This window comes from Homo sapiens, chromosome 7 (genome assembly GCF_000001405.40).
Source record: "Homo sapiens chromosome 7, GRCh38.p14 Primary Assembly".
NCBI lineage: Eukaryota > Metazoa > Chordata > Mammalia > Primates > Hominidae > Homo > Homo sapiens.
Genome location: NC_000007.14, coordinates 116,028,723 through 116,047,819, shown reverse-complemented (window position 1 = coordinate 116,047,819; position 19,097 = coordinate 116,028,723). Strand labels below are relative to the sequence as shown.

The 19,097-nt window shown below is 35.5% G+C and overlaps 1 protein-coding gene across 17 annotated transcripts in view; it reads left to right on the top strand.

Moving 5' to 3' along the window:
- Positions 1–19,097, top strand: part of TFEC (transcription factor EC) — a 224,745-nt gene that overhangs the window by 112,077 nt on the left and 93,571 nt on the right. For 4 of the 17 annotated variants that reach the window (NM_001018058.3, NM_012252.4, XM_047420055.1 and 1 more), the window contains exon 1: positions 17,057–17,187. The exons of the other annotated variants lie outside the window; for them this stretch is intronic. The gene's annotated coding sequence lies outside the window, so the exon portion shown is untranslated. Of the gene's footprint in view, positions 1–17,056; positions 17,188–19,097 lie in introns of those variants that run through there. 17 annotated transcript variants of the gene reach the window in all.

Genomic DNA, 19,097 nt, shown 5'->3' with positions numbered 1-19,097 from the left:
TGATCCTTCCTCTGGAAGCTTCGTCTCAGAGGGGCACCTGGCTGTATGAGGTGTCAGTTTCCCCCTACTGGGCGGTGCCTCCCAGTTAAGCTACTTGAGGGTCAGGGACCCACTTGAGGAGGCAGTCTGTCAGTTCTCAGATCTCAAACTCTGTGCTGGGAGAACCACTACTCTCTTCAAAGCTGTCAGACAGGGAGGTTTAAGTCTACAGAAGTTTCTGCTGCCTTTTGTTCAGCTATGCCCTGCCCTCAGAGGTGGAGTCTACAGAGGTAGGCAGGCCTCCTTGAGCTGCGGTGGGCTCCACCCAGTTTTAGTTTCCAGACCACTTTGTTTACCTACTCAAGCCTCAGCAATGGTGGACACCCCTCCCCCAGCCTCACTGCCACCTGGCAGTTCAATCTCAGACTGCTGTGCTAGCAGTGAGCGAGTCTCTGTGGGTGTGGGACCCTCCGAGCCAGGTGCAGGATATAATCTCCTGGTGTGCCGTTTGCTAAGACCATTGGAAAAGCGCAGTATTAGGTTGTGTGTGTCCCGATTTTCCAGGTACCCTCTGTCATGGCTTCCCTTTGTTAGGAAAGGGAATTTCCTGACCCCTTGCACTTCCCGGGTGAGGTGATGCTCCGCCCTGCTCCATGGGCTACACCCACTGTCTGACAAGCCCCTGTGAGATGAACCTGGTACCTCAGTTGGAAATGCAGAAATCAGCTGCCTTCTGCGTCGCTCACACTGGGAGCTACAGACTGGAGCTGTTCCTATTCGGCCATCTTGGAACCAGGTTATTCATTTATTTTATATTTGAACAGTGTTTACTGGAGTCACTGACACAAGTAAATGCTTTCTAAGTATTTATCATTTTTGTTTTTATTGTAATAAAATGGTATTCTCCCTGAGAGGGTTTTAAATAATAAATTCAAGGGATTGTGTTACAGCTCACCTCTCTGGTGAGAGAATATGGGAATCATTTATCATAACAAAAATTATAAATTGTGGCATGATTTTGCCCATTTTTGTATATACATCTTTCTGAAACAAAAGGGTGGACATTAATTATATGTTGTGCAGTTAGTTTTGTGGTGAAGTACAGTGGGGAGTAAGCTGACCCAGTTCCTGCCTTCTTAGAACTTACGGTATAAAACAAGTATAAAGCATCACGTAAATCACTATATGCCTAACTATTTCTTTTCTTTATGATATTCATGTTGGATTAAGGCTTGGACCAATTTTGTAGCATTGTAGGTTATATTATTTCATTTTCACACTGTTGATAAAGACACATCTGAGACTGGGAAGAAAAAGAGGTTTAATTGGACTTACGGTTCCACATGGCTAGGAAGGCCTTCGAATCATGGCAAGAGGGGAAACGCAGCAAGAGATAAAATGAAGAAGAAACAAAATGGAAACCTCTGATAAACCCATCAGATCTCATGAGACCTATTCACTATCACGAGAATAGCACAGGAAAACCGTCACCCATTTTTCAGTTACCTCCTCCTGGGTCCCTTCCACAACATGTGGGAATTCGGGGAGATACAATTCAAGTTTAGATTTGGGTGGGGACACAGCCAAACCATATCATTCTGCCCCTGGCCCCTCCAAATATCATGTCCTCACATTTCAAAACCAATTATGCCTTCCCAGCAGTCCCCCAAACTCTTACCTTATTTCAACATTAACCCAAAAGCCCACAGTCCAAAGTCTCATCTGAGACAAGGCAAGTCCCTTCTGCCTATAAGCCTGTAAAATCAAAAGCAAGCTAGTTCTTCCTAGATACAATGGAGGTACAGGTATTAGGTAAATATAGCCATTCCAAATGGGAGAAATTGGCCAAAACAAAGGGGTTACAGGGCCCATCCAAGTCAAAAATCCAATGGAGCAGTCAAATTAAAAAGTTCCAAAATAATCTCCTTTGACTCCAGGTCTCACATCCAGGTCATGCTGATTGAAGAGTGGGTTCCCATGGTCTTGGGAAGCTCCGCCCCTGTGGCTTTGCAGGGTCCAGCCTCCCTCTTGGCTGCTTTCACCGGCTGGCATTGAGTGTCTGCAGCTTAAGCTGCCAATGGATCTACCATTCTGGGGTCTTGAGGATGGTGACCGTTTTCGCACAGCTCCACTAGGCAGTGCCCCAGGAGGGACTCTGTGTGGGGGCTCAAACCCCGCATTTCCCTTTCTTACTGCCCTAGCAGAGGTTCTCCTTGAGGGCCCTGCCCCTGCAGCAAACTTTTGCCTGGGCATCGAGGCAATTCCATACATCTTCTGAAATCTAGGCAGAGGTTCCCAAACCTCAATTTCTGACTTCTATGTACACGCAGGCTCAACACCAAGTGGAAGCTGCCAAGGCTTGGGGCTTCCACCCTCTGAAGCCATAGCCTGGAGCAGCTGGGACACAGGGCACCAAGTCCCTAGGCTGCACACAGCATGAGGAAGCTTTGCTTCTTAGAAATGTCTTTTGCCAGATACTTTAAATAATATCTCTCAAGTTCAAAGTTCCACAAATCTCTAGGGCAGGGGCAAAATGCCGCCAGTCTCATTGCTAAAATATAACAAGAGTCACCTTTGCTCCATTTCCCAAAAAGTTCCTTATCTCCATCTGAGACCACCTCAGCCTGGACCTTATTGTCCATATTGTTATCAGGCATTTGGTCAACACCATTCAACAAGTCTCTAGGGAGTTCCAAACTTTCCCATATTTTCCTGTCTTCTTCTGAGCCCTCTAAACTGTTCCAACCTCTGCCTGTTAACCAGTTCCAAAGTCGCTTCCACATTTTCGGGTATCTTTTCAGCAATGCCCCACTCTACTGGTGCCAGTTTATAGGCTGCCAGTTTTTAGGACCCACTGGGATGCATTGGATAAAGGGGTACAGTTTCCTCAGGTTTCCCCACATCATTCCTTACGTAACTGGTGAAATCTAATTTCGTCCCTCTTCTAAAGTAGACAGTGCTTCTGAGTGGAAATAAATTTGGGGGAAAAAACCTCATCACAATGCTAGCCTGTCCCAGTGGAGTATTTTGCATCTTAAAGAGGCAGGTTACAAGTGGAACTACAGATTATGCCTCCCAGCCTGAGAAAGGCAGCTGGCAGATGCCTGCAGTCAGCAGGTGTAGGCAGTCAAGATGCTGAAGAAAAATGATACCCAGCATCTGGCTGTTGATTAGGAACCAGTGATTCACTTTATTACCTAACCATTAAACCCTTAAATGTACTTCCCAAGTAGTTGTCAAAAAACTGAAAAGAAAATAAAAACTAAAGAAATTGAAGAACATTTTGCTTATATAGTAGTCAAAAGAAAATAAACTTCTGTTCTGAAGTATGTATCACAAAATAAGTGTAGGTTAGTCACAGCTGTTCTTGTGTCTATAACACTGTGAAAAGAAATAATATTTCAAACAATTAAGTGTTATGTTCAAAGCATGTAATACTTTCTTATTTTGAATATAAAAAGGTTTATTGTTAGTAGTAAGAGCACGTGCCCACTCCCATCAAATACATTTTGTACAAATACCTTAAAATATCAATTAGAAAAGGGGTAACACATTATTAGCTTGCCTGGTAGCTATAAGACTTGCTCTGGCCATGACGAAGGATATGCATAGGAGAATTTTAAAATTCGTTTAATGGATCCCACTCCTGCCTTTCTTAGGGCAAGTCACTTTTATATTTAATATTCAGAGGCCCAAGTTTACAACTTCTGAGTAAAACTTAACATCTTTCACAGTGAAAGACTTAGATTCTAATTCTGCCATACATGTAGATGCTATAATTTCAGAGACTGTAGATTACTTTCTTATTTTTGAGAAAATAACTAAGAATTACATGGCAGCTGAGAAGCCCCATAAATTGAATCCTAGAGGCTTTGTAGTTCACATTCACAGGAGTGCCCCAAATTGGCACCCAGAAGAGTCTTCCTTTGTAGTGGTACTATTCTCACCTACACAATCTACCTCACTAATTGAAGAGCTCAATAGCATTTGGATCATTTTATGACCTGAAGTAGATTGAATATGCATAAGAAGCTGACTTTGGATTTCTCAGTGTATGTTAATCCATTATTAACCTTCCATGACATTTCTTGGTAGGAGTGCATCAGGTGGTCACACTCTGTTCAATACTCAGATGTATTTTCATATGTTTCTTTTCCTTTTCTTCCTGTTATTTGCAGGTACAGCTATACTGCTTTTAATATGTTTTATTTGAGAGTAAGAAATGGCTTATAGTTAACATATTTTGATAAATGTAAATAAATATTTCAAATTTGATCATAGCTCACTTAGCTTTGCAAGATGAGAACCTCTTATTTTTACTTAAATGCTTATGTACTTTACCCATGATTTAGTTCAGTATTTTCTAGCAACAATTGGATGACTGATACCTTTAAGAACTTTTTTCCATCCATAAGCTTATTCCCATTTGTATGACCTTTGCTTGTAGTTCATATAGGTTTAAAAAACTTTGGTCTTCTGTTTGTAGAGTGTGAGGCATCTATTATTAATGAAATATTGGTGGAATTTTTTTTCAAATTGTCTTGAGAGAATAATGTTCTCTTACTCAGAAAAAAAAGTCCTTAAGAGTGGAGTATTCTTCCAGGAAAATCATTATATCCACATATGTTCATAAGATACACTATTAAATTTAGTAGTCCCATCACATGTAAGCTTCAGATATTGTTGCTTTAATGCATTCCCTCACTACTTTGATAAAAGCCTTAAGATGTTGCCACTAGTTCTTTGATGATTTCCTCTGATGTTATAGTACCTCTCTTTCTACTCCCAAAAAACCTGTTTTGCATAAACATGAGAAGTCAAGGCAGTTTGAGTTAACGAGTACAAAGACTCAAGTTTTAGCAACAAAAGTACATGTATTTGTGATCAGCTCTCTCACATATTATTGTCATCTCTCTCAATGTAAGGAAAGTTTATTTTAGATTTCTGAAGAATATGAGTCATTAGCTTTAACAGAAGTCCAAATATGCTACTCAGCTTTATAATTTTGACGTTTATTCAGCAATTTCCCCATTGAATTAAAGAGATTTCTTAATGGAATTTAGAGGGAGAAGAGTCATATTGACCTAGATATTGACTTATTCTGATTCATTTTCCCGATCATCCCTGCCTGACTCCTGAATCAGTCCTGCATACTGTTGGATTCAGGCATGGAAGATTTTTTAAAAAATGTTTAGTTCAAGTTTCCAAATAATTTTGCCACAATTATGGTTAATAAAAAGTCATTACAGATTATTAATTATGTCCAAGGTTAAGTTTAATATTCCTGTAGGGATAAACTATTAACAAATTAATCGTGAATTCAAATTTGTCCATTTTAATTGCAAAGTTCTACTTTCAACTAAACACTTAATATTCAGAATTAAATAACATTAGCTCAACAACTCTGAACATACTCATGATATGGGATGTTACCTATCTCATATAACTTCTCTTTTCGTCAATATCTGGTCAAAATTATCTACAGTGTGTGTTGCCCTGAGCCTACATAACCCATTTAGTTGTTTTCTCTTCATATACAATGCAATTCTTCTAACGCTTATGCTGTATTATATGTATTCTAAAGACAAGAATGTTCTTCCATGGCTCTATTCTAGAAAAGAGTGCCATTCTACTGACTCTCAGTGGTAACTGTGGGATTGCATTTATCTCATTGTGCTAGAAATGTCATTTTCACTTTTCCATCTATACTCTGTGAATTGATTATATAGATGTCTAAAATCTAACTGTGTCACCTACATTCACCTGTTTTTTTTTCTTTAAAATTAAGGTTACTAGGCACCACTTCCACCACTGTTTTTTCCCTGTCACACTTGTGTTTTTCTAATGCTTGATTTGTAGCTTTGTATCAGATTGTCAGCAGAAGGTGAACAATTGTAGGTTTGCATATTGTGTGAGAGATGCATCTCTCGCCCTTTGTTTTGGGAACTGGCTGATCATGCAGCTCTGTCCTGGAAGGGTTAGAGTCACCAACAGCCACAATGTTTGCATGTGTGCATGCGTCTGTGCGTGTGGGTATGTGCTGTCTTTGTTTCAGACCTGTGTCTGAAACAGGAAGAGCATCACAAGGATTATAAAACCTGTGAAATCTCTGGGTTTTTCAATCTCTGCCTGCTTTCAGTTGAAATCAGACAATGAAGTAGAGTTTTCTACGTGATTAGCAAGATCTATACACAGGAGAAGAGAATTACTTCTGAGCACACCATTACTTGCCACAGATTTTCACATATACCAGTGTGGTCACTGCTAATAACCAGCTCTTGATTTCTCTTGTTTCAAATTGAAATTTTTCAAGGGGTTAACTTTTCCAATTTTCTAACCTTGAAATTTCTGAAGTGTATTACCTGTTTTTTGTTTTGTTTTTTAAATCACTGCGTTCCATAACATATGTAAGTGAAATCTCCTGGCACATAATACACATGCCCAAAATTACTTGAATCTGGAGCTGATATTTCAATAGAATTGTGCTTATATTTTATAATAGTTGGCTTTCTCTCTCTAGCAGTTTTGTTGGAAGACTTTTTTTTTCTTTTTTTTTAATGCTTCCTTTCTTTTCCTCATTAGTTGTTATCAGCAAAACAAAAGGAAACGATATGGGAAATGCAATACATATAAATGTTATGTGAAAAGATAAGGCAACTCACATAGCTTACACCCAGTGTAATTAGTATGTTTCCATACTAGTCTATACCAACACTTAGTTATTTACACTGTGGGAAATAGTTCAGTTAGCAAACTTTTAACCGATCCTTTTCATCTCAGTGTCATGACAGGAGATAGATATTTGCAATGCATGAAATAAGTATTCTGGGAAATTAGGTGTTAATATTTCCCCGGCAGAAACTTCCACCTGACTACAACATATTTCATTTTAAATTTCTTAAGCTGTGACAGTATATCTAATTTATTTTGCTATTTGAACTCTGTCAAAATAAAAGCGAATAATCTAATGTTATTCTTTACCATTTGACGTAAGAATCACAATACACACAAATGCAGAGGCCATGCATGGAGTATAACAACTCATGGTTAAACCTTATCAGATGAGACCCAAATGGCAGAGATGGGGCTGGGAAAATGCTTTGGAGAGGAGACAGTTTCAACAGCCATGATGTTAGAAGCTAGGCGTTGTGCATGTGCATTGCATTTGCCAGGTTCAGTGTCATTGATCTGGGCACTTAAAGCTGACCAATACAATACTGTGTAATTTGGACATTATGATAGATTATTAACCTGGAGAGATAAAATAAATTAAAATGGAGCACTAAAAATGCTATTGTAAAGCAAAAATAATATTAAAATATCAAATATTTGCAATTTCTATTTTATGTATCACTATAAACATTTAAAGGAAGGGATATCTGAAATGCCTATGTGATATTTATTTTGGCTTCTCTCTTCGAAAGCCAAAGAATATCTTTTATGAGATAAAAAACTTGTTAATAGAAAATGTTAATATATCACTTTCTAGTTATATATGTGTGTGCATATATTCACTTTTTAAGCTAGGAAATAAGAACAAGTGTTAGCTACTTCCTAAAATACTATCAATTAAAACAAAAAGAATATTCCTTCCAATGCAATCATTTTCTTGGGATTTGGTGACAACTTTTATTGAAGTACTATGAGTCTTTTATTTTCCTTTGTTTTTCCTATGTTTATTTTCCTATGTTTTTCCCACATAATGGAGCAATCACTGACCAAAAGGTTTCAGGACACCATTAACATTTCTTGTCACCAAGAGTATGAGTTATCCCTAAGAAAGCATTTTATACTTTGTCTCTCTCTCTTTGTCCAGGTCACATCTAGATTTTTTAGATTATTGCAAAGTATATCCTGTCTTACTTGAGGAACAAGGGAAACTTACCCCAGTTCTCCTCTTTTATCTAATTTTGCTTTGTTGGATTGTAGTTTCATCACAGTTAAAAATATCAACCAAAAATTATAAATTCAAACAAGAAGTGTGCATTGATGATTCTTTTGTATTGAAGGACTTTTTTTAACCTCTAAAAGAATAAAATAACTCAAAATGGAGTTTTATATTAAAGGGCGTTTTTTAACCACCAAAGGAATAAAAAAACTCAAAATAGGAAATGTAAAAATATTTTAACTCATTTCTTTTTTTCTATCTCTCTGGTTTTATTACCCTTTCCAAGTTTTATTTCTTTAATAATAATTGTACTGTTATAGTTATTAGTTTCCTGGAGAAAACTTTCTGTTTGCTTGTAGAAAATTTGTGAAATGTCTCTGTCGTAGTTTGATGTTCCTCTGAAAGACGACATTTTTCTCCTTGCAGATAGATTCTGGAAGGTGCTTTTGGCATATATCTTGAGAACAAGAATCATAATACTGATGAACACACACACACACAGACACACACACACACACACACACACACACAGAATTTTCTTTTGTTTTAGTTTTTATCCCCAAATCATGGTTATCAAAGTTATTATCATCTTCAACTATCTGCCTACTCCCTCCTTTCTTCCTATAATTTTTCTCTTTTTTCTCTTCTTCTTATTTGTACTTATAGTAAAATGGTTAAGGATACAGTTTACAGCTTATTATTTGATGGACTGAATTTATTTCTTATATGACATTATAGAAAAACTAACTTTTATTAACAGTGATTTCCTGGGAAAAGTTGATATGTTAAAGATATTTAGCAGAATGTCATAGTCATTTGTCCTATAACATATTCTAGTCCTCACTTAGCATATAATTGGGTTGCAGGTTAATTTCCTTTGAAGGAGGCATAACCATGGACTGCTTTGGCCAATGAATGATGGATAGAAGTGATGAATGTCACTTCCTGCAGGACCTTTAAAAATCTGTATATGGTTTTCCACATCCCGTTTCGTCTCTCAGTAGTGCTGAAAGCATATTTGGAGATGGAGCCTCCATTATCCTGTGTCCTTGAGTAACTATGAGGAAAATAACTTCCCCACTAATCTACTTTGGACACGTAGAGAATGAAGTAACATTTTGTTTTTAACACTATATGTTTATATGGAGTTGTTTGTTACACCAGCATATCCTATCCTACCCTGATAGAGAGGAATGGTACAACTTTGGCAGGCTCTAGAAGACTTGTAATTTCTCTAATCTCTAGGAAGCTACAATGTCAATCATGAGACATGCCATCTCATTGGGAACATTCTAACATTACAAAGGAAGAAGCTTTACTTTCATCTCTTTTATGCTCTCTAGTTTGAATATAGCATGCTAACATGAGATGGTAGCCTCCATGAAATATTTTTGATTTTTGAAATTTCATACATAATCTTCCTTTCCCAATTTTAAATACATCTTTCCTTCTTTACCTTCAGGATACATTATCTTCCAAATGCAAATGCCTTTGGGAAGGAGAATATTTTAAGTCTTATCAGTCGTTTATGCCTTAGTGAGTAAGGTATGTAATGAATTAGAATGTTTTCTAAAAATAGTTTTAGGTAGTGGCAAAAATGGGGAAATGATAAGGGATCATGGCACCTGTCTGGCAAAAGGGAAAAGGACACAGAGATTGCATGTTAAAGACAAGTTTTGCCTACTTCAAAATTTTTAGATGGACTGGTTCTTTGTTTAATACTCTAGTGTATGCCAAGATTAAATATAAGCTCTAGAGAAATTTTAGTCCTTGGTATTATAGAAGAATTAAATTACATTAATGCCTTAAAGGTTTCTAGAAACTCCTTGTTCTTATAAACTGATTTGCAGGGGACAGAAAACTTGGGAAAGTCATATGATTCTTTTGATTGATTTTACCCATTTCTCAAAGAGCAATGATAAGTAGATGTACTTCTGCTGACTGGTGAGATATTGATGAGTTGATGTTTCTGAAGCTCATCGAGATAGATGAAATGCGTTTTAGCAGTGAAAAAGTACTGCTTTTGCAATTGTATAGTGATATGCACATTTTAAATGTGTTCCTCCACACTTTTGCCTGACATGCTTCTTGTTAAGGACATAATAACTTTGGTAGAGTAAAACCTCATGCAGTTTTAAAGATATTTCAAAAGTTTACTAATATTATGCTTACTAGTATGCTAATGAAATAGTAAAAATCTTGGTAAGTTTCAATTTTAGTCTTTTAGAGGGATGAACTCCTATATTTTAGATAATTTGTAGTTATTAAATGCTATTGGAAGCCAAGGCCAAATTTGACATTTAATGTTTGTCTTAAAGTGTTATACAGGCAAAATCTGGTATTATTGCATAAAAGTAGGAAACTTTCACTTCCTAATTTCTTCCGCATTTCTCAAACTGGTAATAAAATCTGACTTTTGAATAATTAATGCCAATTATTTGCCAAGAGACTCAATTATAATATTAACAACTCTAAAGGTACAATTCTGATCAATGAGTAGCATAAAAAATCCAGTTCTATGCACCCATGTCTGATTTCGTTTTCTATATGATACTGATTTTGGACTTTATTTCTAAATTTCTTAGGAGACATAGATATTTTCCTTTGCCTTAGATTTTTAGGAGGGAAGCTAAGTTTCTTCAGATTTAACAGATTAGAAGTTTTCATAAATAATGATTGCCTTTAACTGGCCCACTTGTTGCTAACAGAAAAGACATTGTTGTAGGCATAAAGACCCTCAACATCCCGTGCACAAAATCAATTGCCGTTAAAAAGATTTGTACCAGTAGCCTTTTATTTTTGAGACTTCTGTAAAAGCAATCTAATGTAACAATAAATTATTCTTTCTTTTTTGAAGGACTAATATGAGATCTTCTCCTCTACTATTTATTTACTTGCAGAACGACTTTCTGAGTCCATTTCCAAAAGTGCGTTAGCTGCCATTTGGCAAATAACATTTGTTTCTGCATTATTTGCTAATATTTTAAACTTAAATGTTATCTATTATCAACTGTTGCCTTAGTGGCCAACTTATGTTTGACTTTGGAAACCAAGACAACCTCTACTTTCATGGTATTTCTCATTCCAACATCCTGGGCCTGGCCAAAAGTCAGATATAAGGAAAACAATTCTTTTATTCCTGATACCAGTTTTTGTTTTCTACTTTATATATTATCCCATTAAATTACTTTTTTTATTATGGATTAATTTAAACCATGGGTAATTTATCTTTAAAAATTGATTAGATTTTAAACTCCTTGAGGGTAAAGGCTAGGAGTGTTTAGCTTTGTATACCTACTGCCTGACAGATGGCAGGTATTTAATGGAAGCTTATTAATTAATGAATAAATAATTACAGCATTAGTTTTGATGGGAACACTAATGTAAAGAACATTAAGGCATAGTGTTTAATATATACTCTCTACTATGTGACAAGACCAATTCACATGCTGATGGTATTTGGTCTATATTGTCATATCCCCTATATCATTTCAGTGAATGACAGCTTGTTTCAGAAAGCTAGCACTTTTAAGTTTTGTCAGAGAGCTGCTTTCTGCATGATATGAACTACTTTGCCCATTTGCAACTTGGGAAGCATGTGCCTGGAAATTAATGTGTTCGTGAAGGCAGCCTGAAACCAGTGACTGACAAGTACTGGAGAGTGTAAATACCCTAGCTCTTTTCCTCTCTGCCTGGGAAACATCTGAGGCATGCATTTTACACAATTTTCAGTGTGATAAAACTAAGACAGAACTATAACACAAAGAAGAAAATGTTATGGTCCAATTCCAAAATAAGCACATTTTCAGGATAGAAGACAAATGAGGCAAAATAATCGACAATACAGTATAACAATTATCTATATATTATATGTTTTTAACATATGGAAAAATATTTTCCCAGTTTTGGTTTTGTGAAATTTAAAAATAATTATTTTCTTAGAGATTTAATATTTATGTGGCCAAAATTTGTATTTAGTGATTTTTTTTCTCCACTGTGTGGATTACAAAGTAGTCACATATTTTTCTGAGCCACATTTAAAAATTTTTATGTTTAAATCTTTAAGGTATTTGAAATTAAATTCTTGGTAATCAGAGGTACGGATCTTTCTCTTTTCCATTCTCTTTCTCTCTCTCTCTCAACAAATTATTAGATATTTGTCCTAAAAGTGTTTATTAAGAAATATATTTATTTCATTCTGATGTGAAATACAACCTTCAACAATGTGCTAAATTTCTAAAAATGCAGAAGGTTTTCACTTTCTGTCTATTATATATTAGTAGTAAGCTGTTTTAATTAGCATAGTCTTATCGTGTGTTTAATATTTCATTTTTCAAATCCTTCTTTACTTTTTTAATTTTCAAAATATTTTGGCTATGCTTTTTCATTTATTCTTCTTGGTAAATATTAACAAATGTACCCAATGGAATAAAACTATAATTTTGGTGGATATTATATTGACTTTGCAACATTTGAAGAGAATAAAAATGTTAACATTAATGCTTATAAAAGAAATATGTGTAAAGTGTCCTCAGTTCATACACATACACACAAGAGCCCTTAATTCTGTATCTTTCAAGGAAAGTACAGACAGGAGGTCACGTATGATCTGGACTTTGAAGAGAGGAGCGTCCTGCAGGGGGACATTGTAACCTAAAGAAAGTGAGAATGTATTATGGTAAAGCTTGAGATTCAGACTCAGATTTAGTTGAGAAGACATTTATGAGTGATCCTAGAGAATTTGGAGTCAAAATTTAGGCAGTAGGGAATTTTTTTATGATTATAAATAAAGGGAATAAAATTTAGAAAAATCACACATTTAATCATTTAGTGATTAGTGCTTAGGATATGTCCATCAGCAAGGAGATGGGGATCCTGGTCTTCGTGAAGCTGTCTTTCCAATGAATGATTGAAATTAAACAGAAAACCTGGTAGGTCATGGGGTCTATGGAAAAAAGGACAAGCAGAGTAGGGTAAGGAGAATAAACAGTTTCAGTGGGGGAAGATGGGGGAGACAAGAGAATGGTGGAATTTCAGACAAGTCAGGAAAAACTTCATTCAGAAGTTGATATTCCACAAAGAGTTAAAGGAGGTGTGTAGGCCTAGGACCTTAGACACCATTTTAAGGAATTGGAATGACTTAAGTTCTTCCTCTGAGTATGAGGAATGCTTTGACAAAGTTTTGAATAGAAAAGCTACATGATCAGCTTTGAGTTTTAAGAGAACCACTCTGGTTGCTGTGTGTGTGTGTGTGTGTGTGTGTGTATGCATGCCTGTGCGTGTTAGTGTGTGTGTAACAGATAGAAGGAGGGAGAGCAGGTGTAAGGTCTTTGCGGCAATCCAGGTGAGAGATGAGGTTAGCTTTGACTCAGATAATAGCAATGGAAGTTGGATGAGGCAGATAAATTCCAGGTGGGTTTGAAGGTGAGCTCACAGGAGTTACTGATGGACACGTTGAAGGGTATAGAGAAAGAGAGGAGTGAGCTGGAGGGATGAAGATGGTGTTAATCTAGTTGGGGAAGGCTGCAAGTGGTGCATGGTTGGAAGAGAAGATTTTGGTTGTCTGTAACACAGGAAAATGCAAACATAGAGTAGGTTGTTGGATATATGAGTATGGAATTCAAGAGAGATATCAGGCCTGGAAGTATGACCATGAGAGTCATTAGCATATAGATGATATAAAGTCATGAAAGTACATGATATAGCCAAGGTAATGAATATAGCTAGGGTAGGGGAAAGAACAGGCTGAGACTTAGGACATTTCACTATAGAGAAGAGAGGAAACAGCAAAGGAGACTGAGAAGAAATACTCAGTGATATAGGTGAAAATTTGAGTCTGTAGTGTCCTGAAAACCCATAAAAAGGGCATTAAAGGCAAAGAGAATGATCACGCATTCACTGCTGATAGGGAAAGTAAGTTGGAAGTGAGAACTGACCATTTGATTGGCAAGACAGAGGTCATTGCTAGTCCTGACAAGGTCAGTTATGGTGCTCTGGTGGAGCACAAAGCCTTACTGGAAGGAGCTTAAGAAAGAATGGGAAAAGAGGAATTGAAGACAGTGAGTATTGATAGCTCTTTTGAGTTTTTCAAAAAGGGCACAAAGAAATGGAGTAACATCTGGTGGGAGAAGTAGGGTTCAGAGAAGATTATTTGTTTTCCTTTAGGTGGGAGAAAGAACACTTGCTTGTATTCTAAAAGGAATGATCTGGTTGAGTCAATGTTTGGCACTGTAGATTACAGGTGAGAGGAGGGCATTGCTAGGTGGTGGTCTTGGGTAGTGGGAGGGATGGGATCTGGTATAAATGGAGAGAGCTATTCTCTGCATAAGATGACATATAATTCATCTATGATAACAAATGGGAGTATTTGGGTACTGGTACAGGGAGTGGATAGACATGGAGGATGGAGAATGGCAGGAATAAAGAAATTGACAGAGGCAACTGAAAAAAGGAAGAAAATGGGTAAAACTCACATGGCATTTATTACATGCCTGGCATTATTTAAACAATTTACTTCTATTATTTATTTAATCCTCATACTAGCCCTGCTCTAGGTACTATTAGTTTCTCTGTTTTACAGTTGAGGAGACTGAGGCAAAGAGAAGTGAAGTATTTTAACCAAGGTGCCATAGCTAGAAAGAGGTAGAGCTGGGAGTTGAGACCAAATCAGTCTGACTCTTAACCAAATTCCTGCAGCCAAGCACTTTGACACATTTCTTCTTTGTGAGAAGAATTTCAGGCATAGAATGGCCAGAACTTGACCATTTAAATGCGAGGAGTGAGGATACATCCTCAGAAACAAAGATTTTTTTTTTTTTTGATGAATCATGAGAAGATGTCTTGCCCTTTTCTTTGTCACGTGATTAATTAACTGAAATGCATCTTGCAGGGAGTCTGTAAACATCAATCAGGTAAAGACAGAAGGTAAGATTTAAATTATATCAGTTATTTATAAGATCTCCCTCATTCTTGTCATAAGGGAGCAGATAATTTGTGGTAAAATTATTTTGTGGCAAGTAGTATACTATACTAAAAGTTTGGTTTATAAACTATTTTTGAAATGAAAACTATATTTTATTAGAAACGACATGCATGATTTTTAAAAATTTTTAACTATTATTTTAAGTTCAGTGATACATGTGCAGGTTTGTTACATAGGTAAACTTGTGTCATGGGGGTTTGCTGTACAGATTATTTTGTCACCCAGATATTAAGCCTAGTGCCCATTAATTATTTTTCCTGATCCTCTCACTCCTCCAGCCTTCCACCCTCTGATAGGCCCCAGTGTGTGTTGTTCCCCTCTATGTGTCCTTGTGTTCTCATCATTTAGCTCCCACTTATAAGAGAGAAGATGCAATATTTGGTTTTCTGTTCCTGCATTAATTTCCTAAGGATAATGGCCTCCAGCTCCATCCATGTTCCTGCAAAGGACATGATCTCATTCTTTTTTATGACTGTATAGTATTCTGTGATGTATATGTACCACATTTTCTTTATCCAGTCTACCATTGATGGGCATTTAGGTTGATTCCATGTCTTTCCTCCGTGAATAGTGCTGCAGTGAACATACGTGTGCATGTGTCTTTATAATAGATTGATTTATATTCCTTTGGGCATATACCTAGTAATGGGATTGCCAGGTTGAATGGTATTTCTGGTTTTAGATAGAGGAATTGCCACACTTTATATAAAATATAGAAGCAATAGATAAAAATGTAAAAAAAGTAACTACCCGATTATGCCACCATTAAGAAATAACTGATATTAACAAATAGATGCTTATTCTTTCAGGTGTGAATATGTATCTATGTGCATGTTTCCAACTTTTGAAGCCCACATAGTAATACAGCTTTAAAATTTACCTTCTGAAGCTCGCAAATGTATTTCATACAAATACATTAAATATGTTAAACATGTTGTATCATACAAATGTATTAAACTCTAATTCAATCTAAAGTATTTTCTAATGAGTTAAAATCCCAAATATTTTCTTTTCTCACAATGTTTCTAATATCAATGTTGTTTATTTCTAATACTAACCTAAATAAATTGATTTTACACTTAATTATTTACTATTTCCATTCACCTTAGGAGATTTAGATGTATGATAAAACAACCAGAAAAGGTAAGGTGACTCAAAAATGTGCTATTGATAGTGACAGAACAATTTTTTTACTTAATAGCTTTGAAGTTCTTACAGAAGATATAGTGCTGAAATATTTTCATATAATCTCCACTTCTTGACAAACACAAATGTCAATTTAATTGCACAATTTTTAGATCACAAAGGCAAGAGAAATCTGAATGTAACCTTCACATTAAACTTCAGTAGCTTGCATAAATGCCTTGCTTTGCATATATTTTTTAAAATATAGGTAAGACAAGAAAGTCATGTAACTGTTACAAGAATGAATTCAGATTTTCACAGTGTGAATTACAGGGTGGGAACAAAGTTGTACCTTTCCATTTTAAGTTCCTGAGATACCTAACACATGAAATGAGACCTCTTTTATCACATTGGTAAAGGCATGAGTATCCTATATTCATGTCCCTTAAAAATACAAATGAAATTGGGATGTAAATAATAATTATAAGACAAAGAAATCTCATAAGCTGAACTGTGTATTTTTAATCTACATGGGAAGATAAAATATTCTTGGACAAGATAAAAATTATCCTGGGGTCACTTTAGGAGTAAAATCATATGTAAGAAAAATGTAATTATAGAAAATATGGAAAATGCAATGGCCTTAAAAACTCAAAATCTATTAATGCTCTAAAGAAATGTGCAATTCCTAAAATTGAAAAAAAAATGATGCAGGTCAATTTGTTGAAGAAATGTTCATTGTGAAACATAACATGTTGCAATAAATGTAGGATCTCAGTCCATTATGATAACAACCATGTACTGCTTGTGTATATTCTGGTAAGAATTGTTAATTATGGAGCCACAATGGGACCAACAAGAGCTTTTACTGTGGCCACAGTATTGTGGAGTAGTTTTCTAGGAGTGCTCTTTCTCAAATTAGTGGCATATTTCAGATAAAGAAAGGAAGTCGTCTTAACTTGAAACTGCTGTGTCATTTCTTCTTCCTTAACTGAAATTCCAACCAGGGTTCAGGAAATGCCCTAATGAGCCACTTCTCTTTTCTCTTTCCTCAACTAACTGGATTCCAACCAGCCCAAAGTATTCATTACTCACGGCTAGATCGTTTACTTTGGTTGTCCCTTCTGGCATGGTGCATATGTTATGGGAAGAGGGATTATAATTTGGTGCTGTTTGTAGAGATGACAACACTGATAAAATCCACTCATTGCTGGTAGGTAACTAAACCGGCAGGTTAATTTTCTGTACTTTAAACAAACTAGGAAGACAAACTAATCAATACTTGTTTTATTTTGATATGTGTGGCTTGCTTATAATTATAATTTCATCTTTTATGATAACTAGGTATCAGGATATCTGAGTAGTCAAGTTGTGATTTGCTATTATTTGGGGAAAATATGTCTGAAACTCTATTAATGTCTTATTTCAACCAAGATGTGGAAATCACTGTTTTAGTTCATGGTAACCAAAGTTATTTATTTTTCAAGTTTAATATTTTCAGATATTTACTAAATTGGAACATGATTTAACATTTTGTTGCCTCTTATATATGTTATTTTATGAGTAAATATTAATTTTTGTTTACATTTGAGCAATATCTATTTTATTGGCTTTAAAGGTAAGAAAATATGAGCTCTATTTATAGCAAAATAGTACCAGATAGTATATTAGCATATATTCTTATTCCAGGACTAAAAATTAATTCCTATTTTTATGTAGATGTGGATCTAAATAGCTTGTGTAGAAGATGTCAAGTATCCCAATGCAACAACCTTTTTTTGAGATGGAGTCTCACCCTGTCACCCAGGCTGGAGTGCAATGGCGTGATCTCTGCTCACTGCAACGTCTGCCTCCCGGGTTGAAGTGATTCTCCTGCCTCAGCCTTCCAAGTAGCTGGGATTACAGGCATGCGCCACCACACCTGGCTAATTTTTTTTTTTTGTATCTTTAGTAGAGACGCAGTTTCACCATGTTGGCCAGGCTTGTCTTGAACTCCTGACCTCATGATCTGCCTGCCTTGGCCTCCCAGCAATTACTTTTTTAAAGTAATAGTTTTCAATTGTAATAATCAAAAGAGTTGTAGTAGAAACTTTAAGATTAAGATACATATGAAGATATTTATACACATGTACATACATATATATATGCTGTATATATACATTTGCTTATATAAATTACAATAGATATAATTTCATATATATTTATATAAGTTATAACTCCATACTTTCAATATTGTCTTAGAATATTTCACTGGGAATATGCATTTTAAGGGAAGGAGAAACCTGAGGTAATTTCAAATTCATTTTGGATAGTTTATAAGAAACTTCATTTAACTATAAGAGTGTAAAATAACCTTCATGATTCTTTCGTATTCAGAAAGTGTGTCAGCACAGCAAAGTGAAATGGTACGCAGTTTATTATCAGCATTATTCGGACAATTCTGCTTCACTTCTATTTTAGATGAATCTGAGTGTAGCAGTGCACTTGCAAGTATCTTTTAAATTTATGTTAAATATTTTACTTTTGGATGGAAGCTACTTTAAGTAGGCTAAACTTTAAGATCTCCTTTTAAGAAGTTTTTTTAAACTTTTTTTTTTAGCTCTAAAACAAATGGAATACATATAATTTTCATGTCTATTTCCTTGGTTTGGGTTATTATTACTTTTTTTTTAAGTTTTCAATTTTATTCCAAAACAGTAGAATAGTTCAATGTAGTACATTTTGTTGAACTGAAACTTGGAGCTCATGTCAAAAATGAAACAAGCTGAAAAATGTTTCTTAAAAGTCAGTTTAATTTTAACGACTGCGGCATAAGGTTTGTTGTAAGTTCTAGATAGCCCAAAATAATTACAAGACATTTAAATAAGGTACAAATTTGTAGCATAGTGAAATTTTCAGAAATACTACTAACTTATATAGTGGAAGTAAAAATAGTTTTGAAAACAGTGGTTTGAATAGTCAGAAAGGAGAAATAAGGAAAGAAGAAACTGAAAGAAACAAAATATTCTTACACAATGGTTTTAGATAAACTAGTGAAATATAACTCAAATGGAATCATTATGGCTGTTGATATTTTCCATAATAGTGGAAAAGCAATCACTTAATCTTTTATAAATCGTTTTA